This window comes from Homo sapiens, chromosome 2 (genome assembly GCF_000001405.40).
Source record: "Homo sapiens chromosome 2, GRCh38.p14 Primary Assembly".
Classification (NCBI taxonomy): Eukaryota; Metazoa; Chordata; class Mammalia; order Primates; family Hominidae; genus Homo; species Homo sapiens.
This window is the reverse complement of record NC_000002.12, coordinates 47,125,718-47,152,768: the sequence shown is the minus strand read 5'-3', so window position 1 is coordinate 47,152,768 and position 27,051 is coordinate 47,125,718. Positions and strand designations below refer to the sequence as shown.

Below are 27,051 nucleotides of genomic sequence, written 5' to 3'. Positions count from 1 at the left end.
TGCAATAGAAGCTTGGGAAAGTTAAACAATTCTAGAAATCTAGGTGCTTTACAGAATATCTAGATAAGGCTAACCTATGCTCTTATGATCTGGGTGAGATTGCAAAACAAAAAAAGCATACATTCTGGAAAGGTGTTTTGGTTTCAGTTTTTATCTTATATGGTAAAGACCTTCTGCAAATGGTTCTTAATATGGTCAATATATGAAAGCAAAATGGTAATATATGGAAGAAAAATGACCAGAAGATCCCCCTCACCAGAGAGTTTCTATATTACAGACATATTTTCTGTCAATGCCCTTCAATAATAGAGGGACTTCATGGGTCAAAGCCTTCTTGGAATTGCAGTAATTTTAAAGGCAGAACTGAGCTGAGTGCTCAGTGGAAAGATGGCCACAAAAGCAGCAGTGACTAAACGTTCAATTCTGGCCATTCAGCCACACTGGTTGTAATTTGAAAGTACCAAACCTCTTATTGGACTAACTAGGCCATATGCTCTGCCAGTTTATCCTGGTGTCATGTCATTATCCTTCAGCTTCCCACTTGAGGGCTAGAGAGAAACATCCTACATTGGCTAAGCAGATGTAGGATAGCTTCTAGTTAGCCAAGAGACTATCCTGAGTGGTCTCACTAGAGGTCTGAAATTCATAGTCAAGCTTGAATCCCAAAGTTGAATCACCGAAGTTGCCTTTTAAAAACTTAAATTTCGGCCGGGCCTGGTGGCTCACGCCTGTAATCCCAGCACTTTGGGATGCCAAGGCGGGCGGATCACAAGGTCAGGAGATCTAGACCATCCTGGCTAACACAGTGAAACCCTGTCTCTACTAAAAATACAAAAAAAAAAAAAAAAACAAAACAAAAAACTAGCCGGGCGTAGTGGCTGATGCCTGTAGTCCCAGCTACTTGGGAGGCTGAGGCAGGAGAATGGCATGAACCTGGGAGGCGGAGCTTGCAGTGAGCCTAGATTGTGCCACTGCACTCCAGCCTGGGTGACAGAGTGGGACTCTGTCTCAAAAAAAAAAAAAAGTTAAATTTCAACTCTAACCCGTTTGCTTTAATTCAGCAATTATTTCAGAAAGGAAATAATCATGATTTTGAAATACTCTTCTGTCAAGAGTGTTTACTGTATTTGATATAATTTCATTAAACTTGAAAACAAAGAGAGATGTTACTTGGGAGCTTCCCATCCAAGAATGGTGTTTTAGGAGAAGTTACATGTTTACACAATCTTAAAACTGATGTCAATTTTCCACAGGATACTCCTATACCTGGCACTTACCACTTGAAAACTTTTATTGAAGAATCCCTATTAAATCCAGTGATAGCAACCTACAATTTTAAAAACGAAGGAAGGAAAAAGCCACCTCTTGTGCAAAGAAACAATCCAGTCCTAAATGATCTTCCGCAGTATATGCCTCCTGACTTCCTGGACCTGTTAAAGAAGCAAGTGGCTACTTACTCATTCAAAGACAAACCACGGCCAAGCCCCAGCACACTAGTTGACAAAGATCAGGTAAAGCGCTACTGGCAGATTGCTTTGTGTGGGAAAGCTACTAAGAGCCCCTGAGGAAAGTATTTTTATACGTAGAGTATATCTTCCCCCAGGAGAAATGGAAAACCTTTAAGATGTCTTATTTCCCGTAGAAATCAAACAAGGACTGCCTGATTTGCAAATGTTTCCAGTAAGATTTTTCCCTATAACATCTTCTTAACCTAAGGGGAGTACATGGGGAGAAATGTTTTCCTCTTGGGCAACTCTTGGTGGGATTCCCCTAGCCTGGAGAGCACCTGGGATCTTATCTGTCATTGGGCTATGCTCTTATCTCTTCAAGCAGTATATGTGGTGAACCCTCTTCTTTTAAAGAGAAAACCCTGCCTCTCGGGGAGTATCCTTATTAGAGCATAAATATAACTACATACCACAGGGAAGCTTTTAAAAACTTTTCTTATAGAAATGACCCATCTCTACAAAAAATAAAGAAAAATAGCCGGGTGTAGTAGTGCATGCCTGTGGTCCCAACTACTCTGGAAGCTGAGGTGGGAGGATCACTTGAGGCCAGGTGTTGTAGATCAGCCCGGGCAATATAACAAGCCCTCAACTCTTTAAAAAAAAAAAAAAAATAGCTACTTGGGAAGCCAGGGCAGGAGGATCCCTTGAGCCTGGGAGTTTGAGGCTGCAGTGAGCTATGATTATATGACTGTACCCCAGCCTGGGTGACAGAGTGACATGCTGTCTCTAAAAATATTTTTTTTAATTAAAAAAAAAAAGAAAAGAAGTGAGCATGTGGTCCCAGGAGGGTCAGCTTCTACTCTCAGCTCCACCAGTTCATTTGTAGCATTGATAATAAAGAGCACTACTGAGCTCACAGCCCTGCACTAGGCTCTGCGGAAGGAAGATGTTCCTGACCCAGAGGTATTTAAGCAACAATACAGGACAGAGTTTATCAAGTGCTCAGATAAATAGTGGAGCTGGAAATGCCAAAGGAGAGTTCAAGTGCCAAAGGAGGCTGGATTAAAAGGCTGGAAAGCTCCGTGGCTTACGTAGAACTTAACTGGACCTTCACTAATACATGTCTTTTATGTGGCTCTTAATGGTTTACTATGGGCTTCCATGTATATTCTCTTAGTTGCTTCCTTCTTAAGCATTCTGAAATAGAACAGATATTAACTCCATTTTACATGCAAGAAAACTAAGGTGAGTAGAGACTAAATAACTTGTCCAAAGGCACATTGCTAATACTTAAGTAGGTGAAGCAGCACTTTTTACTGAGGGCTTCTGCACCAAAATTTAGTCCTCTTTCCAGTCTACCATGTGCCCCTCGCCTTGAATGAGGGGCAGGGTTTGGGTAGATGGAATCCAAAGGAGGTATTCCGAGGGAGGAGTACAGCATTGTTGAAGGCATGGAAGTGGCAGGAACGTGGTCTGTTCAAGGGATAAGAGTTGTGACTTGGACTTTGTTACTTGGGACTTTGGGTACTTGTCTCAGTTCTCTCTGCATTAATATTTCCCATTTATAAATAAGCTAATAACAGTATCAATCTTCATAACTTCATCAGAATATTATTGTGATAACCTGAGAGAAATGTATTGCAGCTGAAGGTTGAATTAAGTACAAGGGGTTGTAATTACTAAAGTGGACACAAAATTTTCAGCAGGATGAACACATGTCAAATCCAAACTTTCTACTACTTTACAAATTGTAGCTTTGAAACAGAACAGAATGATAAGTGTTCATTAGGTATATCTTATCCTGTTTGCTTCAGTGGATGCATACAAACTCTAAATTATACTAGCACCTTTATGGCTTGCTACCAGATAACCAGGCTATGTGTGAAATTGTTCTGGCTATCTCAAATGCAAAGTCTTTCTTACTCTCTTCTGCCATTTTCTTTTCTGCTTCCTCTCTTCTCGCTTTTACAAGTCCCTGAAAATCAGCCAAAGGCCCAGTGTTGAAAGGAGAAAACGTACAAGGATGGAGTTACACAATACTTAAAGTTTTTAAAGACCAAAAGAATTAGGCTTACTCGGAAGGATGGATAAAACCTTCTGAAAACATAGTTTTTCTGTTTCTTTCTTCTTTCCTCTCCACCTCCCACAAAGGATTAAACTCTAGAAACTGGAAAAATTCAGTGTTTTTCTAATTTTCTATTTCAAAGATATATATATTCACAAGGGGAAACATAAACATTGTTTAGTCACCAGTAAAATTCAAAATTCTGTTTTAATAGCAGAACTCAGAATACTTTGAATTTGGGGTAGATATAGTATGTATTATTGTTATACATTAAGCTAGAATAGCATTCTCAAATTTTATAATTTTTCACAGAATATTCATTTTATATCTTTCAGTGGCTGCTTTTTATTTGTAATAAAGTTTTCAGGAATACTATGCAGCCATAAAAAAGGATGAGTTCATGTCTTTTGTAGGGACATGGATGAAGCTGGAAACCATCATTCTCAGTAAACTATCGCAAGGACAAAAAACCAAACACCACATGTTCTCACTCATAGGTGGGAACTGAACAATGAGAACACTTGGACACAGGAAGGGGAACATCACACACAGGAGCCTGTCGTGGAGTTGGGGGAGTGGAGAGGGATAGCATTAGGAGATATACCTAATGTAAATGACGAGTTCACGGGTGCAGCACACCAACATGGCACATGTATACATATGTAACAAACCTGCACATTGTGCACATGTACCCTAGAACTTAAAGTATAATAATATAAATAAATAAATAAATAAAGTTTTCACTATTTTTAGTATCTTTATTCTGAGGCATGTAACTCAACTCGAGAATCTGTATTGGAGAGACTTTCTATTTTTTTTTCAACTTTTATTTTAGATTCAGGGTCTACATGTGCAGGTTTGTTACCCGTGTATATTCCATGATGCTGAGGTTTGGGGTACGATTGATCCCATCACCCAAGTGCTGAGTGGCTAACTATTAGTACCCAATAGTTAGTTTTTCAACCCTTTCACCCGTACTGAACAGTCTTATTAGGCATATATATATAGGGGCTATGTGCAGTGGCTCACACCTGTAATCCCAGCACTTTGGGAGGCCGAGGCAGGTGGATCACTTGAGGCCAGGAGTTCGAGACAGCATGGTGAAACCCCATCTCTACTATAAGAAAAATACAAAAATTAGCTGGGCATTGTGGCACAGGCCTGTAATCCCAGCTACTTGGTAGGCTGAGGCACGAGAATTGCTTGAACCCGGGAGGTAGAGGGTACAGTGAGTTGAGATTGTGCCACTGCCCTCCAGCCTGGGCGACAGAGCAAGACCCGGTCTCAAAAAAAAAAAAAGGAATATGTATATACATATTTGAATGTGTGTGTGTGTGCATGCATATACTTATCTATATTTGGCCCTTTTCAAAGGAGATTTGAGGTAGCTCTGTAATTTTTCTAATAACCTTTTTCTTAACAGATAAATAGTATATTCACATTGTAGAATATATGTACACAAACGGGACCACCTTCTCCATATGTACAATTTTATGACCTGCTATTTCCCCTAGTGTTGTAGTCCTCCACTGACCCCTGGGTTACTCCCCTTATTCCTTGATATTAGCCCCCTTCCCTCACTGTCACTCTTTTCACTACTCATATCATAATTTCAACACACACATAGATGATCTTTCAACAACCTGGCTTCTCAGTTTCTTGAACTTTCTGCTACCTCAGCCACTCACTCCTTAGATGTTTTTCAAGACCAAGAATTTCAACTCTCTACAATCTCTACATGAATCCCACTCTCTAATATCCCAACCCTAACAATTTTTCCATTCCCTGCAGGCTACAATCCTAATCTATTGATTGTCCCACCTTTTCGCTACCTCTCAACTCCCTTCTTCCTTGCAAAGCTCCAATCCCATAGTTAATCATTATAGTTATTCCCTGCATACACTGTCAATTCCCTTGCCCCTAACTGCTCATCTTTTACTTGTTTGGCAAAGCCACAACCCTGGGTACGTCTCTCTTTGTATTAATACCTGCATCCATGTAGCTGCATGACTGCTCTCATGCTAAATTCTTCACCTCTGATGGGCACTGAATGGACTTCTCTAGTCTGTTTACTTTGCCATTCTCCTGGGTGGTTTTATCTTGTATATCCTATTTATTTATTTATTTAAGACACTGTCACCGAGGCTACAGTACAGTGGCACAATCATAGCTCACTGCAGCCTCGATTCCCCAGGCTCAAGCAATCCTCCCCCTTAGCTTCCTGAATAGCTGGGACTATAAGCACGCACCAGCCACCATGCCTGGCTAATTTTTTAAATTTTTAGAAGAGGCGGTCTCATTATGTTGCCCAGGCTGGTCTCAAACTCCTCAGCTCCAGCGATCCTCCTGCCTCATCCCCCCAAAGTGCTGAGATTACAGGCATGAGTCACGCACCCAGCCACTCTCCCCTCTTTTCAAACCTCCTACACTTCCTCCCCTATCCTCATTTTTGGTTTTTCTTCTCAGCCATTTTTTGCCATCTCTGCTCTTCCCTCATCTCCATCTTGGAGTGCCCCAAGCACTCAGACCTCTGCTCCATCTCTGCTCATTCTCTGAATGGTGATCTCATCCAGTCTCACTCAAGGCTATGAACACCATGTATTTGTTGGTGATTACCAAATTTGTATCTGCCACCTAGATAGTTTTCTTGAATTCCAAACTTGTATATCCAATTCCTTTTTTTTTTTTTTTCAGTAGAGATGGGGTCCCACTATGTTGCCCAGGCTGGTCTCAAACTCCTGGGCTCAAGTGGTCCTCCTGCCTTGGCCTCCCAAAGTGCTGAGATTACAGGAGTGAGCCATTGCGGCCAATTCCCTTTTTGATTTATACATCTGTATGTCTAATCCTGGTTTTGTCAAGCTTGGCACTGCTGACGTTTTGGGCAGGATAAATCTTTGTTGTGGTTGGGTGGGGCGGGGGGCTGTTCTGTGCATTGTAGCACCTGGCCTCTACTCATTAAGTATCATTAGCAATCTACTTTTCCAGTTGTAACAACCAAAAATGTCTCCAGACGTTGCCGTGCTCCTGGTTCAGAACCACTAGGTTAAAGCGGTATGATAGTGAGTGTGATCTCTGAGTGGCTTTTCTCAAGGCCAGCAGGGATATTGTGAACTGGCTTCATTCTTGACTTTGTCTTACTACTCCCTGTCACTCTCTTCCTGACCCACTTGTCCTTTTGGCTGTATCTTGAACTTAGCACTCACACTCCTACCTCAAGGTATTTTCACTGTACCCTTTTTCTGGGATACTCTTATCCAAGATATCTGGATGGCCTACTCTCTATCCTTCTTCAAGTCTTTGTTCAAGTGTCATGTTCTCAATGAGCCCCATTTAAATTTACTATTCAACGCTTCAGATCTTCCCTACCTGGCTCTTATATTTTTTTCTTGGCATCTATAGCTATCAAGTGTACTATATAATTTACTTGCACTTTACATTGATTATTTGTTAATGTGCCTTCTCCCATGAATGGAACTTCATGAGGACATGAATATTTATCTGTTTTGCTCATTATTATATCTCTGTCTAGAACAGTGTCTGATGATTAATATTGGTTGAACCTGTGAATGAATTAATGATTACTCAAATACCTGAAATCTGACTGGGCCTTACTCATTTTGTTTTCTTATGTGTATGTGATTGTCTTTAACTGTGTATTGCTCGTTACTCTTGAAAATGTATTTTTGTGAATTCCCCAAGGCCTAAGGTTTGCTTTGGCTTCTGTTAATATATAGGGGAGCCACCAGTCTGGTACAACTCAAAATGCAGTGTTTATGTCTTCTTGGATCACCCTAGCATTGTGAATTTGGGCTGGAATTCATGAAAGGGACAGCCCATGGTTATAATCTCTCAGGGACGGGTTTCTTCTCCCTCTCAGTTCTTGCTTAGGCAACTCTCTGCAGTCCCCTTGGCAGTGGAGTGAGGTGGGAGAGTTTACTTTCAGGAAGTACCTTTCTAGGGTCTCAAATTCCAGTGGGTATCTTCCATTAGACTCCTTCCTCCCTTTATCATGAATAGGCCCAGACTTTGACCCCTGGATTCTTCCAGGGCTCTGAAGTTCCTTTAAACTCAGCTGTGTTCTGTTGAATTTAGTCTGGACCAGCAAACATTCTCTAGACAAAATTAAGCCACTTACCTCCTTGGCTTCTTGCTGTCTTTTAGTTTAGGATCATGTAATTTCCTACTATATTGTTGGCAATTCCATATCTTTTTAAAAACTCTTCTGTGGCTGGGCACGGTGGCTCACGCCTGTAATCCCAGCACTTTGGGAGGCCAAGGCGGGCGGATCACGAGGTCAAGAGATCAAGACCTTCCTGGCTAACACAGTGAAACCCCATCTCTACTGAAAATACAAAAAATTAGCCAGGCATGGTGGCACGCACCTGTAGTCCCAGCTACTTGGGAGGCTGAGGCAGGAGAATCGTTTGAACCTGGGAGGCGGAGGTTGCAGTGAGCCGAGGTTGCGCCACTGCACTCCAGCCTGGGCGACAGAGCAAGACTTCATCTCAAAAAACAAAAAACAAAAAAACTCTTTTGTTTGTTTTTTTTTAATATTTTATCTTTCATTTCTAGTGGTCAGCAGTGGGAAGGTTAATCGCCCGAATAAATAACCTAGCATGTCATTTGCAGAAACCAGAATTTCTTCTTTTTAGAAATATATTATTAATCTTTTTCATGTATTCTTTACACATCATTTATTTTTGTGTATTTATACATTTGTTCATTTATTTATTTTCTAGAGTCAGGGTCTTACTATGTTACCCAGGCTGGTTTTAAACTCCTGGACTCAAGCAGTCCTCCTCCTGCCTCAGCCTCCCCAAGTGCTGAGATGACAAGTGTGAGCCACCATGTCCAGTCTATACAACATTTTTAATAGCTGCATAGTTTTCTTGTATATGGACATATCCTAATATATTCAGCCATCCCCTGTGGTTAGTCATAGAGTGGAATTGTTAAGGAAAGGATATGTTGAAGTCTGTGTCTTTCGAGATGCATTGTCCAAAGTCCTAGAGAAAGGTTGTCCTATTCTGCAAGTCTACCTTGCAGAGTAGAAGTCCATTACCATTTGAAATGCATCATTTATATTTTCAACTAGAAACATGGATCTAGTGACTTAAATGGAGGATTTTAAAGTATAAGCTTGAAATCAACATGCTAGGGTAACTTCAGGACAACCTGAAGTCAGTTTAAACTGTGCCAGTCAGAACATGGTTCCAGAATCTATCTACAGTTAGTGGGACAGGGAGAAGATGGTGATGCTGTCTCAGCCTGTAGCCAGTGAATCATTACTGAACAAGGTCAGTCAATGCAAAAAAATGTAGAGTATTACCACTGTGAAGATGCAAGGGAGTTTCCAGAAAGTGCTGATCACTAACTGGCTTTATCACCTGTATCAAATGGTGAAAATGAGTCATGGTCTTTTACAATCCAATTGTAATAAATATTCCGGTTAAAAATGAGCAAAGGGTGGCCAGACACGGTGGCTCACACCTGTAATCCCAGCACTTTGGGAGGCCGAGGCAGGCGGATCATGAGGTCAGGAGATCGAGACCATCATGGCTAACACGGTGAAACCCTGACTCTACTAAAAATACAAAAAAAAATTAGCCGGGCGTGGTGGCGCACGCCTATAGTCCCAGCTATTCGGGAGGCTGAGGCAGGAGAATGGCGTGAACCCAGGAGGCGGAGCTTGCAGTGAGCCAAGATCACATCACTGCACTCCAGCCTGGGCGACAGAGCGAGAATCTGTCTCAAAAAAAAAAAAAAATGAGCAAAGGGCATGAGCTGGCAATTCACAAAGAGACACACCAATTACTAAAAAAGAAAGTGATGCTTGGCTTCAACTAATAAATAATTACAGAGGAATAATAGTGAGGCACAATTTTCGCCTATCAGGTGATCAACTATATAAGTACTGTACATTGATACCCAATATTGGCAAAGGAGATACACAAACAGATACTCTCACACGTTGTTTATATGAATACAAACTGGTGCAAATATTTTGGAGGGCAATTTGGCAACCTAGCAACATTCTAAATGCACATAGCCTTAAACTCAGCAATGCCAGTTAGAAAATGATACACCCATACAAATGACATACTGTGCAACCATTACAAATGTTGAGGTTGGCCGGGTGCGGTGGCTTACGCCTGTAATCCCAGCAGTTTGGGAGGCCGAGGCAGGCAGATCACCTAAGACCAGCCTGGCCAAAATAGTGAAATCCCATCTCTACTAAAAATACAAAAAAATTAGCCATGTGTGGTGGCAGGCGCCTGTAATCCCAGCTACTCGGGAGGCTAAGGCAGGAGATGAACCCAGGAGGTGGAGGTTGCTGTGAGCCAAGATCGCGCCACTGCACTCCAGCCTGCGCAACAAGAGCAAAACTCTGTCTCAAAAAAAAAAAAAAAAAAAAAAAAGATGAGATAAATCTATATGTGTTGATATGGAAGCATCTCTAAGTTGTTACTACATGAAAAAAAATGAAGGTACAAGTCAATATTTAGAGTATAATCCCATTTGTATACATGAAAACAAATGTACATATATGTGATGTTAAATGCATACTTTTTTCCCCTGAGAAATACTTTCATAATCACCAACAGTGGTTTCCATTTGGAAAGTAGAGGTTAGATAGGGAGCAAGGAGACTATTAATTTTTTTCTTTCTGTTGATATTGTTTTCAATGTGTAAATGATACTCTTTCAATCATGCCCATTTGTAAGTAACTCGAAATTTTTTCCAACTAACATTTTTGTTCTCTTGTTTTCTTTCTTAAAATGTTCCATTTTAAAAAAATTCTCTTATTTATTTCCTAGGTTGGGAACATTTCAATGAAAATCACAGTTAAGCAAATGAAATTTGAAATTTGAAATTTCAATTTAAAGGTTAGCTTTAGCATTGCCTTGGAAGATGGAGCTCATGGAAAATGAAACAAATTTGGCAATTCTATTCCCTCCCTGCCCCTGTATCTTTTTTTTTGGTCAAAAAGAGGTAGCCAGGCTAGAAAGGCGCCCCATTAAATTAGAGAATGAATCAAAGGATCCATTTGAATATGTTCAAAATACATCCTTGAACTAGTTGAGAGAGAGGTTGAAAAATCTGGCAGTTAACTCACTGATCTTTGCTAGCTGTGTTTATAGCTGTGATGAGGATATCTCTGAAAATAGATTAATTTGCAGAATGCTCCATGGTAAAATGACTACTGAAGGGATTTTCAACAGGATGGTTTTCCTTGAGCATGGTATCAACCAAAGTTTGTGCCCACAGAAGGGCTGACCAGCCACACTGCAGCAGTAATGGTGAACATCAGAGTGGGGCATCCTAGATCCTTCAGTAGCCACACAGCATCCCCAGAGAATCCTCCCGCCGAATGTACAGCCCTCCCCCAGGTGTTCAGTGTGTTCACTAAAGTGGTAAAATGATAAATTTTACTTAGAAAACAACAAACAACAGCAGTGATCTGAACACTCATTTTAGACCTGAAGTGTGTGTTGATTTTGAACAGTTGCACTACTATATAGCTATAAACCATAGGAAGGGTGCCAGTCACTCTGAGAACCCAAGAGTTAAATGTGGGGATAACAAAGAGCATAATGTAGCAAAGATGAAACAATTCATTCTTCACTTAAATGAAAAAAAGTAGCACTCAAAGTGGTTAGTCAAGCGGCTTATTTAGCAGATTTTTTTTTTTTTTTTGAGGCAGGACTTCTCAAAGAGCCCCTGCAAAGTAATGCAGTGATTGTCACTTAAAATATGTCAAGAGTGTGGCAAACAAAAGTGAAGTTTGAAAGCTGGATACAGAGAATTTATCTCAGGGATGACACTCACTTGTAGTTCTCAGTGAAAATTACAAGATATTGGTGAAATTAAGGATATCATTAGTATCATTGGATATGTTTTCTTTCTTTCTTCTTTTTTTTTTTTTTTTGAGAAAGTCCCATGTTGTTTATTTCTCAGACCTTAAAGAAATCTGAGCAGTGAGTCAGTAATGTTTCCATATGACACAAGAGGCTTTACTTCTGAGAGAGAAGAGACACTTAAAGAAATTTCTATCAAGACCTGGAAATGGCTGGGAGCGGTGGCTCATGCCTGTAATCCCAGCACTTTGGGAGGCCGAGGGGGGCAGATCACTTGAGGTTAGGAGTTCGAGACCAGCCTAGCCAATATGGTGAAACCCCATCTCTACTAAAAATACAGAAATTAGCTGGCCGTGGTGGTACACACCTGTAGTCACAGCTACTCGGGAGGCTAAGGCGGGACAGTCGCTTGAATCTGGAAGGTGGAGGGTGCAGTGAGCCGAGATCACACCACCGCCTCCCCGATAGAGTGAGACCCTGTCTTAAAAAGAAAAAAAAAAAAGTACCTGGAAATATGGTACCTGCCAGCCTTCTGGCTGCATTCACCTTATGATTATTCTAATAGGGATTCTAAAGGTGTAGAAATCCTATTAGAAATCTGTTGCCTTCTGACCCACCTATTTATGGGTCTGGGTTCTCAAAATGGTGTCACGCTGACTTCCAGTTTCCAGTTCTGCATGTAAATAGCTTGGAAGTTGAAGTTCCATCCTAACAACAAGTTAAAAGCTAAACAAACTGAAAAATCAACAATTATTTTAGACTTGTAAGAGAAGTGAGGTCACAGGGCAGACTATCCCCAAAATTGGAGAGATGGCCAGGAGGATACAGAGAATTACAATTTACCAGGGCAGAAAATACCAACTTCTGCAGGAACCATGGCTGGGGTAGGAACACCTGAACTACAACTGAAGAATTGCTGGAGGCTAAGTGTTGGCAAATCTGAGAGTTAAAAGCTCCAGGAGGACCTAATCATAGGGGGTGCCTCACGTGTTTTGAGGTTTACCTGCAGGAGCTCTCCCAGGTTCTTACAGAGAGAAATCCTGCCCCTGCTGCTGGCAGAGGAGAGGAAAAGGAACCATTTTGAAATATGTCAGGCACTCTCTTACTAACAAGGCCTGCCCTCAGGAGAAACTATTCAATCAGGACCTAACTGACCTGAGGGAAGGGCAATACCCAACTCCAGCCAGCTTTAGTCATCCTGTGCCACCTAAGGGTGAGGAGGTAGCTGAGAAAATCTTGTGAAATTCACAGTACAGATGGTCACAGATTTTCATGAGTCTATACCAGAGAGAGGTAGAGACTCATGAAAAAGACTGATACTGCAGCTGGGTGCTGTGGCTCACGCTTGTAATCCCAGCACTTCGGGAGGCTGAGGCGGGCGGATCACAGGGTCAGGAGTTTGAGACCAGCCTGGCCAACAGAATGAAACCCCATCTCTACTAAAAATACAAAAATTAGCCGGGTGTGATGGTGGGCGCCTGTAGTCCCAGCTACTTAGGCGGCTGAGGCAGGAGAATTGCTTGAACCCAGGAGGCGGAGGGTGCAGTGGGCTGAGATTTAGAAGTAAATGGGTGGAGAAAGATATACTATGCAAACTCTAATTGGTCTAACTACACCAATTAAAAGACAGATTGTCGGAGTTAATCAAAATTGTCAGAGCATAATCTTGTATGTTGTCTACAAGAAACCCACTTTTGATCTCTTGGTAAATATGGCATCATCTGCGTGGAGGATCTGATTCGTGAGATCTATACTGTTGGAAAATTCTTCAAAGAAGCAAATAACTTCCTGTGACCCTTCAAATTATCCTTTCCATGAGATGGAATGAAGAAAAAGACCACCCATTTTGTAGAAGGTGGAGATGCTGGCAACAGGGGGGACCAGATCAACAGGCTTATTAGAAGAATGAACTAAGGTGTCTACCATGATTATTTTTCTAATCTGGTCAGTTAATAAACAGTACCTGCTCTCAAATTGAAAAAAAAAAAATAAAGCAGGAGAAGCTATATTAGTTTCAAACAGAGCAGACATCAAAGCAATAAGTGTTATCAGGGATGAAGAGGGGCATTACTTAATAAAGGAGTCAACTCTACAAGAAGATATAATTATATTTGGCAATGTGTATGTGCCTAACAACAGATCGTCAAAATATGTGAGGCAATAACTAATAGAACTGCAAGGAGAAATAGATGACTTCAGTATAAATACCCCTCTATCAGAAATGGACAAATACAGCAGGCAGAAAATCAGTCAGTACATAGTTGAACTCAACAGCACCATTTAATCAACAGGATATAATTTATGTCTATAGACTGCCTCATCCAAAAACAGCAGAATACACATTTCCTCCAGCTCACATGGAACATTCACCAAGAGAGATCACATTCTGAGCCATAAAACATACCTTAACAGGGCTGGCAGCGGTGGCTCACACCTGTAATCCCAGCACATTGGGAGGCCAAGGCAGGTGGATCACTTGAGGTCAGGAGTTCAAGACCAGCCTGGCCAACATGGTGAAACCCCGTCTCTACTAAAAATACAAAATAATTGGCCAGGTGCAGTGGCTCATGCCTGTAATCCCAGCACTTTGGGAAGCCTAGGCAGGCAGATCACAAGGTCAAGAGATCGAGACTATCCTGGCCAACATGGTGAAACCCCGTCTCTACTAAAAATACAAAAATTAGCTGGGTGTGGTGGCACGTTCCTGTAATCCCAGCTACTTGGGAGGCTGAGACAGGAGAATCTCTTGAACCAGGGAGTCAGAGGTTGCAGTGAGCTGAGATCATGGCACTACACTCCAGCCTGGCAACAGAGCAAGACTCCATCTAAAAAAACAAATTAACCAGGCATGGTGGCGGGTGCCTGTAATTCCAGCTACTTGGGAGGCTGAGGCAGGAGACTCACTTGAACCCAGGAGGTGGAGGTTGCAGTGAGCCGAGATCACACCACTGCACTATAGCCTGGGTGACAGAGTAAGACTCCATCTCCAAAAAAAAAAAAAAACCTTAACAAATTTAAAGGAATAGAAATTATACAATGTCTGCTCTCAGACCACAATGGAATTAAACTGAATTAAACTACAAATCAATAACACAAAGATAACTAGAAAACCCCAAAATATGTGGAGATTAAACAACACACTTCTAAATAACACATGGATCTGTGTTGTTAGAAAAATGTCTGAAGAGAAATGTTAAAATACTTTGAACTAAGTGGAAGTGAAAACAAAATTTAACAAAATTTGTGGGATGTAGCAAAAGCAATGCTTAGAGGGAAATTTATAGTATTGAATGCATGTATTAGAAAAGAAGAAAAACCAAAAATTAATCATGTAAGTCTGCACCTTAGGAAACCAGAAAAAGAAGAGTAAATTAAATCCAAAGTAAGTGAAAGAAAAGAAATAATAAAAATTAGAGCAGAAGTCAATGAAATTGAAAACAGAAAATCAATAGAGAAAATCAAGGAACTCAGAGCTGATTCTTTGAAAAGATAATAAAATTGATAAGCATCTATCTAGGCTAACTAAGAAAAAAGAGAGAAAACACAAATGACTAATATTAGACACAAAAGAGGAGACATCACTACAGATCCTATTGACATTAAAAAGGACAGTAAAGGAATATTCTGAATAACCCTATTTCCACAAATTTGATTACCTAGATAAAATGAACCAATTACTTGAAAGACAGAATTTTCCACAACTGACATGAAAAGAAATAGAGTCTGAATAGGCCTATATCTATTAAATTGAATCAGTGATTATAACTTTTCAAAATAGACATTGCTAGGCCCAGATGCGTTCACAGGTGAATTCTATCAAATATTTAAGGAAGGAATTATGCCAATTCTTTACTAATCCCTTTCAGAAGATAGAGGGCAGGGGACACACCTCCTAACTCATTCTATTAGGCCAGTGTCATCATAATACCAAAACCAGACAAAGACATTACAAAAAACGAAAACTACAGACCAATATGTCTCATGAACATAGTTGTAAAAATCCTCAACAAAATGATAGCAAATTAAGTCTAACAATGTATTAAAAAATTATACATCGCAACCAAGTGAGATTTATCCCAGGTATGCAATGCTGGCTCAATATTTTAAAAATCAAATAATCTATCACATCAACAGCTAAAAAAGAAAAGTCACATAATCATGTCAATAGATGCAGAAAAAGCATTTGAGAAAATTCAACATCCATTTATGAAAATAATTCTCAGTAAACTAGAAATAGGAACTTCCTCAATTTGATAAAGAGTATCTACAAAAAACCTACAGCTAGCATCATACTTAATGGTGAGAAACTAGAAGCTTTCCCACTAAGATCAGGAAAAAGGCAAGGATGTCCTCTCTCACCATTCCTTTTCAACATTGTAGTGGAAGTTACAGCTAATGGAACAAGACAACAAAAGGAAATAAAAGGTATACTGATTGGGAAGGAAGAAAAAGAACTGCCTTGTTCACAGATAACATGATTGCCTATGTAGAAAATCCAAAAGAATCAACAAAAATTCCTGAAACTAGTAACAAATTATAGCAAGTTTGCAGGATAAAGGTTAATATACAAAAGTCGATTACTTTTCTATATACTGGTATATATACCAGCAATGAAAAAGTGGAATTTGAATTTTAAAACACATGCTTTCAAAAAGCATGCCTTTCTCTCTCTTCCATTGACCAAACATTTGGCTAGAAATTGTAAGATTAGATGAAATGAATTTACTTCTCTTCCTTCTCAAACTACGTGTGTCAAAACTCATGATGATAGAAGGATTATTTGCATTATAAAATAAAATATTACTGGTAAGGTCAAGAACACACACATATATAATGACTTCACATTAGGACGCCGAAAGATGACATACTTAGGTATAAATCTAACAAAATATGTACACGATCTAAATGAGGAAAACAACAAACTGATGAAAGAAATCAAAGAAGAACTTGGCTGGGCGTGGTGGCTCATGCCTGTAATCCCAGCACTTTGGGAGGCCAAAGCGGGTGCATCACCTGAGGTCAGGAGTTTGAGACCAGCCTGGCCAACATAGTGAAACCCCGTCTCTACTGAAAAATACAAAAAATTAGCTGGGCATGGTGGCAGGCGCCCATAACCCCAGCTACTCGGGAAGCTGAGGCAGGACAATCGCTTGAACCTGGGAGGCAGAGGTTGCAGTGAGCTGAGATTGCGCCATTTCCCTCCAGCCTGGGCAACAAGAGTGAAACTCTGTCTCAAAAAAAAAAGAAAGAAATCAAAGAAGAACTCAATAAATGAAGAGATTTCCCGTGGATAGGAAGATCAATATTGTCAAGATGTCAGTTCTTCCCAATTTGATCTTTAAATTCCATGCAATCCCAATAATAATTAGAGAATGTTATTTTGTGGCTATCAACAAACAGTCTAAAGTATATATGGAAAGGCAAAAACCTAGAATAGCCAACACAATGATGAAGGAGAATAGCAAAGTTAGAGGACTGACACTACCTGACTTCAAGGCCTACTTAAAAGCTACAGTAATCTAGAGAGTATTATATTGGCAAAGAATAGACAAATAGATCAATGGAACAGAATAGAGAATACAGAAATAGACACACAAAAATATAGTCAACTGAATTTTGACAAAGGAGCAGAGTCAATACAACAAAGAAAAGATAGTTTTTTCAACAAATGGTGCTGGAACAACTGGATATCCACATTCAAAAAAGAAGAGGCTGGGCGTGGTGGTTCATGCCTGTAATCCTAGCACTTTGGGAGGCCGAGGCAGATGGATCACTTGAGGTCATGAGTTCAAGACCAGCCTGGCCAATATAGTGAAACCCCATCTCTACTGAAAATATAAAAATTAGCCAGACGTGGTGGCGGGTGCCTGTAATCCTAGCTACTTGGGAGGCTGAAGCAGGAGAATCGTTTGAACCTGGGAGGTGCAGGTTGCAGTGAGCTGAAATTACCCCACTGCACTCCAGCCTGGGTGACAGAGTGAGACTCTTCCTCCAAAATAAAAATAAAAAAGAGGAAAAGAATCTAGACACAGACCTTAAACCCTTCACAAAATGAACTCAAAGTTGATTACAAAACTTAAATGTAAAAAGCAAGACTATACAACTTCTAGAAGGTAACATAAGAAAATCTAGACGACTTTGAGTTTAGATCCTACACCAAAAGCATGATCCATGAAAGAAATAATTAATAAATTGGATTTCTTTGGAACTAAAATTTTCTGCTCAGCAAAAGACACTGAAGAGAATGAAAAGACAAGTGACTAACTGAGAATATATTTGCAAAAGATATATCTGAGAAAGAACTGTTGACCAAAATATACAAAGAACTCTGAAAACCCAGCAATAAGAAAACAACTCAATTAAACAATTGGCCAAACTCCTTAATATACACCTCTCCAAAGAAGACATACAGATGTCAAAAAAGCATATGAAAAAACGTTTCACATCATATGTCATCAGGGAAATGCAAATTAAGACAATGAGATACTACACAAATATGAAATGGCCCCAATCCAGAACACTGACAACATCAAAGCTGGCAAGGATGTGGAGCAACAGGAACTCTCATTCATTGCTAGTGAGAATGCAAAATGGTATAGCCACTTTGGAAGACAGTTTGGCCGTTTTTTAAAAAACTAAACATACTCTTACATAAGATCCAGCAGTTGTGCTCCATAGTATTTACCCACAGGACTTGAAAGCTTACACCCACCCAAAAGCCTGCACATGGATGTTTATAGCAGCTTTATTCATAATTGCCCACATTTGGAAGCAACAAAGATGTTGCTAAGTAGATGAATGGATAAATAAACTGTGGTACATCCAGACAATGGAATATTATTCAGCACTAAAAAGAAATGAGCTATGAAGCCATAACAAGACATGGAGGAAACATAAATGCATATCACGAAGTGAAAGAAGCCAATCTGAAAAGGCTGCATATGGTATGATTCCACCTCTATGACATTCTGGAAAAGGCAAAACTATGGAGACTATAAAAAGATCAGTGGTTGTCAGGGGTTGAGGGGAGGGAGGGATAATTAGGGAGAACACAGGATTTTTAGGGCAGTGAAACCACTCTGTGATACTATAATAGTGGATACATGTCATTGCACATTCATCAAAACCCTTGAAAGTACAACACCAAGAGTGAGGTCTAATGTAACATATGGACTTTGAGTGATAATGATGTGCCAGTGTAGGTTCGTCTGTACCTTTTTAGTGTGGCATGATGATAATGGAGGTTACGCATGTGTGGGAGCAAAGAGTATATGGAAATCTCTTTCCTTGCAATTTTGCTATGACCCTAAAACTGTTCTAAATAAAGTCAAGTATATGTATATGTATATGTATATGTATGTGTATATGTAGTCACACCAAGAGCTTAGTAAGTAGGGTTGGCTTTTTTCACATTATTTCAGTTTTCTGACATTGATGGTGTTTGGTGCAACATAACTGAATTATATATCCATACTAATACCATCCTGCCACATTCAAGCTCTCATAAGATTTGAGTGCCTGGCCGGGCGCTGTGTCTCATGTCTATAATCCCAGCACTTTGGGAGGCCAAAGCGGGTGGATCACCTGAGGTCGGGCATTTGAGACCAGCGTGACCAACATGGAGAAGCCCTGTCTCTACTAAAAATACAAAATTAGCCAGACGTGGTGGTGCATGCCTGTAATCCCAGCTACTCAGGAGGCTGAGGCAGGAGAATCACTTGAACCCGGGAGGCAGAGGTTGTGGTGAGCCGAGATTGCGCCATTGCACTCCAGCCTGGGCGACAAGAGCCAAACTCAGTCTCAAAAAAAAAAAAAAAAAAAAAAAAGATTTGAGTGCCTAATCAGCATGGATTGAAACATTAATTAGTGAGAATCAGATATTTTTACTGGCATCTTGCCTAGATTCTCTAAGCCTTAAAAACGAAGAACTGGCCAGGCATGTTGGCTCACACCTATAATCTGAGCACTTAGGGAAGCTGTGGTGGGAGGATCGCTTGAGCCCAAGAGTTTGAGACCAGCCCTGGCAACATAGTGAGATCTCAACTCTACAATAATTTTAAAAAATAGCTAGGTGTGGTTGCACATGCCTATAGTCCCAGGTAGTCAGAAGGCTGAGGCAGGAGGATCGCTTGAGCCTGGGAGGTTGAAGCGCAGTGAGCTATGGTTGCGCCACTGCATTCCAGCCTGGGTGACAGAGCAAGGCCCTGTCTCAAAAAAAAAAAAGAACTGAGAAGCATATGTTGGAGTTAGAAATATATATATGCACATATATATACCATTAGACCCAAGGAAAATGGAACCAAGTTTAGCAATGAACAGGAAAACAGTCTCCTACATAAAGCAGCTGACTATTCAACACTTTATGAAAAAAAAGCCCCCTTTCAATTACGTTAAGTAGCAAAGAATGGTAAATGCCAAGTATAGTAGGACAAATATAGATGTTACAGGTAACCAATATTCCTTTCCAGAGTAATGCTAATAGTTTTTCCATGAGCACTTCATTATGGAAATCTTACATGGATTGCTCAGTATAGATAAATAAATGACTGCTTTAAGAGGTTTTTTCCCCTTTTCAGTTTTCTTTTTTTGTCTCCTGTTTATATCTGTGTATGTGCGAGAGAGAGAGAGAAAGAAGCATAAAGCAAATATGCACATTTTAAAAACAGAAAGCAAACATCCACGTAATTGTCATCAGAATCAGGAAATAGGACATTGCTGGCCCCCAGGAATGCCCAGTTCAAATTGTGTTTCTGTGCTTCTATAAGACACAAGAATGACACAAGAATACCTTTGTTTCCTTGGTGTTTATGATGTCAAGTGAGCACTCAAGCAGCACAGGTGCATCAGGAAAATGCATATATTTCACCATTAAATTTGTATTGACTGTTATCATCACTCTATCCACAAAAAGCTGCTTCTGCAATCAAAGTTGTGTACTAATATGGGAAAGACAGCTGCAGGGTGAAATATAGTAGTGAACTTCCATGTGCCAGCGAGTGCTGGGAGGTAGATGCCTTTTTAACAAAAGCGGTATTGTTTCTTAAAATCTGACATAAAAATAATAGGGAGTGGAGGGGATTATTCACTTCAGGTCCTAGGATTTTATAATATAACTCTTCCCCTCCTCCCTGCCAGCTCTGGATGTCTGGATGATCTTCTCCTCCTGGCTTCTCATTCTCCTTCCTTCTTTCCCTACCTTCCTTCACATATCTTCCTATTTTTTTTTTTTTTTCAGAGTGAGTCTCGCTCTGTTTCCCAGGCTGGAGTCCAGTGGCACGATCTTGGCTCACTGCAACCCCCGCCTCCCAGGTTCAAGTGATTCTCGTGCCTCAGCTTCCCAAGTAGCTGGGATTACAGGTGCCCACCACCACGCCTGGCTAATCATTGTATGTTTAGTAGAGACAGGGTTTTGCCATGTTGGTCAGGCTGGTCTTGAACTTCTGACCTCAAGCAATCCACATGCCTCGGCTTCCCGAAGTGTTGGGATTACAGGCATTAAGCCTCTCCTGTCTATTTTAACCAGTTCCTGACATTCTTATATCATAACTGTGGGCTAATGTCCCTAGACCCAGGGGCAATGGAGCCACCCGGGTTGTTTGCAACAATTTCCTGATGGAAATAGTGTTAGATGTGAGGCCTCTCTTTCTTGGAAGACCCTTGCTTGAGCTCCTTGAGGAAGTCCTGCCTTTCTTAAAAGCCTCCCTCAAATCTCATCATCTTTGTCATCTTGAGGTCACCCAGTTGGATTTAATCTCTTCCTACCCCCATATCTTCAATCTGTCTTTTAGCACTGATGACAGTGGTTTATGTTAGGATTGTTTCTGTAGGTGCCTCTCACTCCTGCTGGTCAGGGACCGTAGCTCTCTTAACCACTGTATTCCCTAGTACTAGTGCTGCGCTTTACCCCAGAGCAGGCTCACTAAATGGCTGAATTGATTTGTTGAATCTAGAATATTTAAAGTGTGATCACGGCTGGACATAGTGACTCACATCTGTAATCCCAGCACTTTGGGAGGCCAAACTGGGTGGATTGCTTGAGCTCAGGTGTTTGAGACCAGCTTGGGCAACATAGTGAGAGTTTGTCTCTATTAAGACCAAGAAAATTAGCCAGGTATGGTGGTGCGCATCTGTGGTCCCAGCTATTTGGGAGACTGAGGTGGGAGGATCACTTGAGCCTGGGATGTCGAGGCTTCAGTGAGCTGTGATCACGCCACTGCACTCCACCGTGGGCAACAGAGTGAGACTTTGTCCCTAAATAAATAAATAAAAATAAGATGTGATCAGGTCAGGTACAGTGGCTCACACCTGTAATCCCAGCACTTTGGGAGGCTGAGGCAGGAGGATTGCTTGAGCCCAGGAGTTCAAGACCAGCCCGGGCAACATAGTGAGATCCTGTCTCTACAAAAAATAAAAAAGTAGCTGGGTGCAGTGGCACACACCTGAAGTCTCAGCTACTTGGGATGTGGAGGTGGGAGGAGCACTTGAGCCCAAGAGTTTGAAGCTGCAGTGAATTATGTTCATGCCATATCATTCTCCAGCCTGGATAACAGAGAACCTATCTCAAAAAAAGAAAAAAAAATGTGGCTGGGCACGGTAGTTCATGCCTGTAATCCCAGTACTTTGGGAGGCTGAGGCAGGTGGATCACTTGAGGCCAGGAGTTCAAGACCAGCCTGGCCAACATGGTGAAACCCTGTCTCTACTAAAAATACAAAAATTAGCTGGGCGTGGTGGTGTGCACCTCTAATCCCAGCTACTCGGGAGGGTGAGGCAGAGAATTGCTTGAACTGGGGAGGCGGAGGCTGCAGCGAGCGGAAATCACGCCACTGCACTCCAGCCTGGGCGACAGAGCGAGACTCCATCTCAAAAAAATAAAAAGAAAAACTGTGATCAATTTGACATTTTCCTATGCAGCATCTCAGGTATGCTGTCTATAAAATTCACCATGAAGACCGAATCTATGTTAAATGTTTTGAAGCTCCACCTTTGGAAATGTACATTTTCCTTTTCCACTATTAAAGTAAAGAAGGAATTATCCAATGTTGTATGGTCATAAAATAAAAGATTACGAATGACAGATAACGAAGTGAGTTTACAACCTCTATTAATCTATTGGTGTCCTTGTCCATTCTGTGCAGTCACTTCAGCTTTCTCCGGGGCAATACAACGTGCTTCCTGCACCAGTTCCCAAATATGCTTCCAGGTAATTATATACTTATTAAATAAGCTGCCTTTCTGTTTACATACCTACACGCCAATACTCCTGGCTTTTAAACCTCATTTATGCACCTCATATGCAAATTAACATTTTAAAATATTTAATGAAAGGTAGGGAATAAGTTAACAAAGATCTTTAAAAAATAGATTTAGAAAATCACTTTTCTTTTTTATTTTGAAATATAGGAGCTGTGTATTTCGCTCAACAGTTCAAAGATTCCCAACAACCTATTTTATTCCCGTAAGTATAATGTAGACAGTTAACTCATGATGAATTTGATGTTTAAAATACGCTGTGCTTTCTGGAGTGGAGCAAGGTGGCCACATAGAACCCTCCAGTGATCGTTCCCCCTAGCAGGAACACCATTATCCACACAATTATCCACACAAGAAAACACCTCTGTAAGAACCAAAAAGCAAGTGTGGGATCGCAATACCAGGTTTTAACATTGTATCAAGGAAAGAGGCACTGAAGAGGGTAGGGTAGAAAAGACAGTCTTGAATTACTGACACTACCCTCCCCCATCCCCTGGCAGCAGCCACGTGGCATGAAGAGAGAATCTGCCCTTGGGGAAGAGGGAATGCCGTGACGGGGGGACTTTGCACGGGAACACCGTGCTGCCTGTAACAGGGAAAGCAACACAGGACAGAATTCAGCTAGTGCCCATGGAGGGAGCATTTAGACCAGCACTAGCCAGCCAGGAATTGCCCATCCCAGCCGTTCGATACTGAGTTCCAGCTCTCCCTACCACTGTGGGCTGAAGTGCTCTGAGGTCCTAAATAAGCTTGAAAGGCAGTCTCGGCCACAAGGACTGCAGTTCCTGGGCAAGTTCAGGTGCTCTGCTGGGCTCAGAGGCAGTGGACTTAGGGTACACAAGACCTAGTGAGACACCAGCTGGGGCAGCCAAAGGAGTGCTTGTAGCAGCCATCCCCCAGCCCCAGGCAGCACAGCTTGCAGCTTCAAGAGAGAGGCCTTCCTTTTGCTTGAGAGGAGGAGAGGGGAGAGTAAAGAGGACTTGTCTTGAATCTGGATACCAGCTCAGCCACAGCAGAATAGGGCACCTCAGGCAGAGTCCTGAGGCCCCCATACCAGGCCCTAGCTCCCAGACAACATTTCTAGACACATCTCTGGCTGGAAGAGAATCCACTGCCTTAAAGAGAAGGACCCAGTTCTGGCAAGATTCATCACCTACTGACTAAAGAGCCCTTGGGCTTCGAATAAACACCAGCAGTGGCCAGACAACACTCACTGCAGGCCTTAGCCAGTGCTGTGCTGCTTCAGGTGTGATCCAGCACTTTCCCAGCTACAGTGGTCACAGAGAGAGACTCCTGCTTGAGGAAAGGAGAGGGAGGAGTAAAGGGGATTTTGTCTTGCAGCTTGGGTACCAGTTCGGCCACAGTGAAGTGGAGCACCAAGCAGGCTCCTGGGGTTCCCAATTCCAGGCATTGGCTCCTGGATGTCATTTCTGGACTCCCACTGGGCCAGAGGGGAGCCCACTGCCCTGAAGGGAGAGACCCAGGCCTGGCAGCCTTCCTCACAAGCTGACTGAAGAGCCTTGAGTGAACATTAGTGGTATCCAGGCAGTACTTGCTACAGGCCTGAGTGGCATAGAGAGATTCTTTCTGCTTGAGGAGAGGGGAGGGACGAGTGGAAAAACTTTGTCTTCTGGCTTGGGTGCCAGCTTAGCTGCAGTAGTATAGAGTACCCAATAAATTCCTAAGTTTCCTGACTCCAGGCCCTGGCTCCCAGATGGTATTTCTGATCTGCACTTGGCCCAGGGGGCAGCATGCTGCCTTGAAGGGAAGAGCCTTTGGGCCTTGAGTGAACATGGGCAGTAGCTAGGCGGTAGTTACTGCAGCCCTTGGGTGAGACCCAGTACCATGCTGGCTCTGACCCAGTGCAGTCCCAGGGATATTGGCCATAGAGGTGCTTGTGTCACCCGTCCCTCAGCTTTAGGCATCTCAGCACAAAGAGAGACTTCGTTTGTTTGGGGGAAGGGAAGGGAAGAGAACCAGAGTCTCTGCCTGGTAATCCAGGGAACTCGCTCAGATCTTATCCAAGACTACCAAGGCATTACCTCTACAAGTCTACCAGAATCACAGCAATTACTAGGCTTGGGGTGCCCTCTAATGCAGACACAGCTACGGTGACCAAAGACAGATTACAGCACTTAATTCCCTTTGAATACTTGGAGAGCCTTCCCAAGAAGGACAGGTACAAACAAGACCAGCTGCAAAGACTACAATAAACACCTAACTCTACAATGCCCAGACATCGGCAAACATATACAGGTATCAAGACCATCTAGTAAAACACAACCTCACCAATCGAATTAAATAAAGCACGAGTGATCAATCCCAGAGTGACACAGATATGTGACCTTTCAGACAGACACCTCAAAATAGCTGTTTTGACAAAGTGCAACAAAATTTAAGATGACACAGAGAATGAATTCAGAATTCTATCAGATAAATTTAGCAAACAAATCAAAATAATTTTAAAAAATCAAGCAGATACTCTGGAGCTGAAAAATTCAATTGACATGCTGAAGAATACATCAGAGTCTCCCAATAGCAGAACTGATCAAACAGAAGAAAGAATTTGTGAGCTTGGATGGGGTGCAGTGGCTCATGCCTGTAATCCCAGCACTTTGGGAGGCTGAGGCAGGCAGACGGCTTGAGGCCAAGACTTCAAGACCAGTCTGGCCAACATGGCAAAAGCTTGTCTCTACTAAAAATACAAAAAGCATCTGAGTGTGGTGGTGCACACCTGTAATCCCTGCTACTTGAGAGGCTGAGGCATGAGAATCGCTTGAACCTGGGAGGCGGAGCTTGCAGTGAGCCAAGATTGTGCTGCTGCGCTCCAGCCTGGGCAACAGAGTAAGACTCTGTCTCAAAAAAAAAAAAAAAAAAAAAAAAAAAAAAAAAAGAATTAGCTTGAAGACAAGCTATTTGAAAATACAGTCAAAGGAGACAAAAGAAAAAAGAATGAAGCATGCTTACAAAATCTATAAAATAGCCTCAAAACGGCAAATCTAAGAGTTATTGGCCTTAAAGAGATAGAGAGAGAGATTGAAGTAGAAAGTTTATTCAAAGGGATAATAACAGGGACCGTTCCAAACCTAGAGAAAAATAGAAATATTGAAGTACAAGAAGGTTATAGAACACTAAGCATATTTAACCCAAATAAGACCACCTCAAGACATTAATAATCAAACTCCCAAAAATCAAGCACAAAGAAAGGATCCTAAAGCACAAGAGGAAAGAAGTAAATAACATACAATGGAGCACCAATACATCTGACAGCAGACTTCTCAGTGGAAACCTTATAGACCAGGAGTGAGTGGCATGACATATTTAAAGTGCCGAAAGAAAAAAACTTATCCTGGAATAGTATATTCAGTAAAAAATCCTTAAAATGTGAAGGATAAATACTTTCCCAGACAACCAAAGCTAAGGCATTTCAACACCAGACCTGTCCTACAAGAAACGCTAAAAGGAGTTCTTCAAATTCTGAAAGGAAAGGACATTAATGAGCAACAAGAAATCATCTGAGGCCAGGTGCAGTGGCTCATGCCTATAATCTCAGCACTTTGGGAGGCTGAGGCAGGAGGATTGCTTGAGTCCAGCAGTTCAAGACCAGCCTAGGCAACATAGAGAGACTCCATCTCTACAAAAAATTTAAAAATTACCTGGGCATGATGGCATGCACCTGTGGTCCCAGTTACTCAGCGAGGCTAAGGTGGGAGGATCACTCGAGCCCAGGAGGTCAAGGCTGCAGTGAGCCATGTGTGTGCCACTGCAGTCCAGCCTGGGCAACAGAACAAGACCCTGTCTGAAGAAGAAGAAGGAGAAGGAGAGAAAGAAGAAAGAAGAAAGAAGAAGAGGAAGAGGAGGAAGAGGAGAAAGAAGAGAAAGAAGAGGAAGGAAAGAAAGAAGAAAGAACCCTAAAACTTAACGTGGAACCACAAAAGACCCAGAATAGCCAAAGTCATCCTGAGCAAAATGAACAAAACTGAAAGAATCATATTACCTGACTTCAAATTATACTACAGAGCTATTGTAGCAAAAACAGTATGGTAGTAGCATAAAAACAGACATAGAGACCAATGGAACAGAATAGATAACCCAGAAATAAATCCATATATCTACAGTGAACTCATTTTTGACACAGGTGCCAAGAATACACATTGGGGAAAGGACAGTCTCTTCAATAAATGGTGCAAGGAAAACTGGATATCCATATGAAGATGAATGAAACTAGAACCCTATCTCTTGCCATTTTACAAAAATCAAATCAAAATGGATTAAAGACTTAAATCTGGCTGGGTATGGTGGCTCACGTCTGTAATCCTAGCACTTTGGGAGGCCAAGGCAGGAGGATCCCTTGAGCCCAGGAATTCGAGACCAGCCTGGGCAATATAGGGAGACCCTGTCTCTAGTTAAAAAAAAAAAAATTAAATC

The 27,051-nt window shown here is 41.5% G+C and overlaps 1 protein-coding gene across 2 annotated transcripts in view; it reads left to right on the top strand.

Moving 5' to 3' along the window:
- The window catches only part of STPG4 (sperm-tail PG-rich repeat containing 4), a 68,318-nt gene that overhangs the window by 2,540 nt on the left and 38,727 nt on the right, over nucleotides 1-27,051 (top strand). The window contains exons 3-5 of one of the 2 annotated variants that reach the window (NM_001163561.2): nucleotides 1,254-1,511; nucleotides 22,509-22,573; nucleotides 22,774-22,828. In NM_001163561.2, the coding sequence (NP_001157033.1) occupies nucleotides 1,254-1,511; nucleotides 22,509-22,573; nucleotides 22,774-22,828 (378 nt within the window). Of the gene's footprint in view, nucleotides 1-1,253; nucleotides 1,512-22,508; nucleotides 22,574-22,773; nucleotides 24,322-27,051 lie in introns of those variants that run through there. The other variant, NM_173649.3, reaches the window with a different exon arrangement.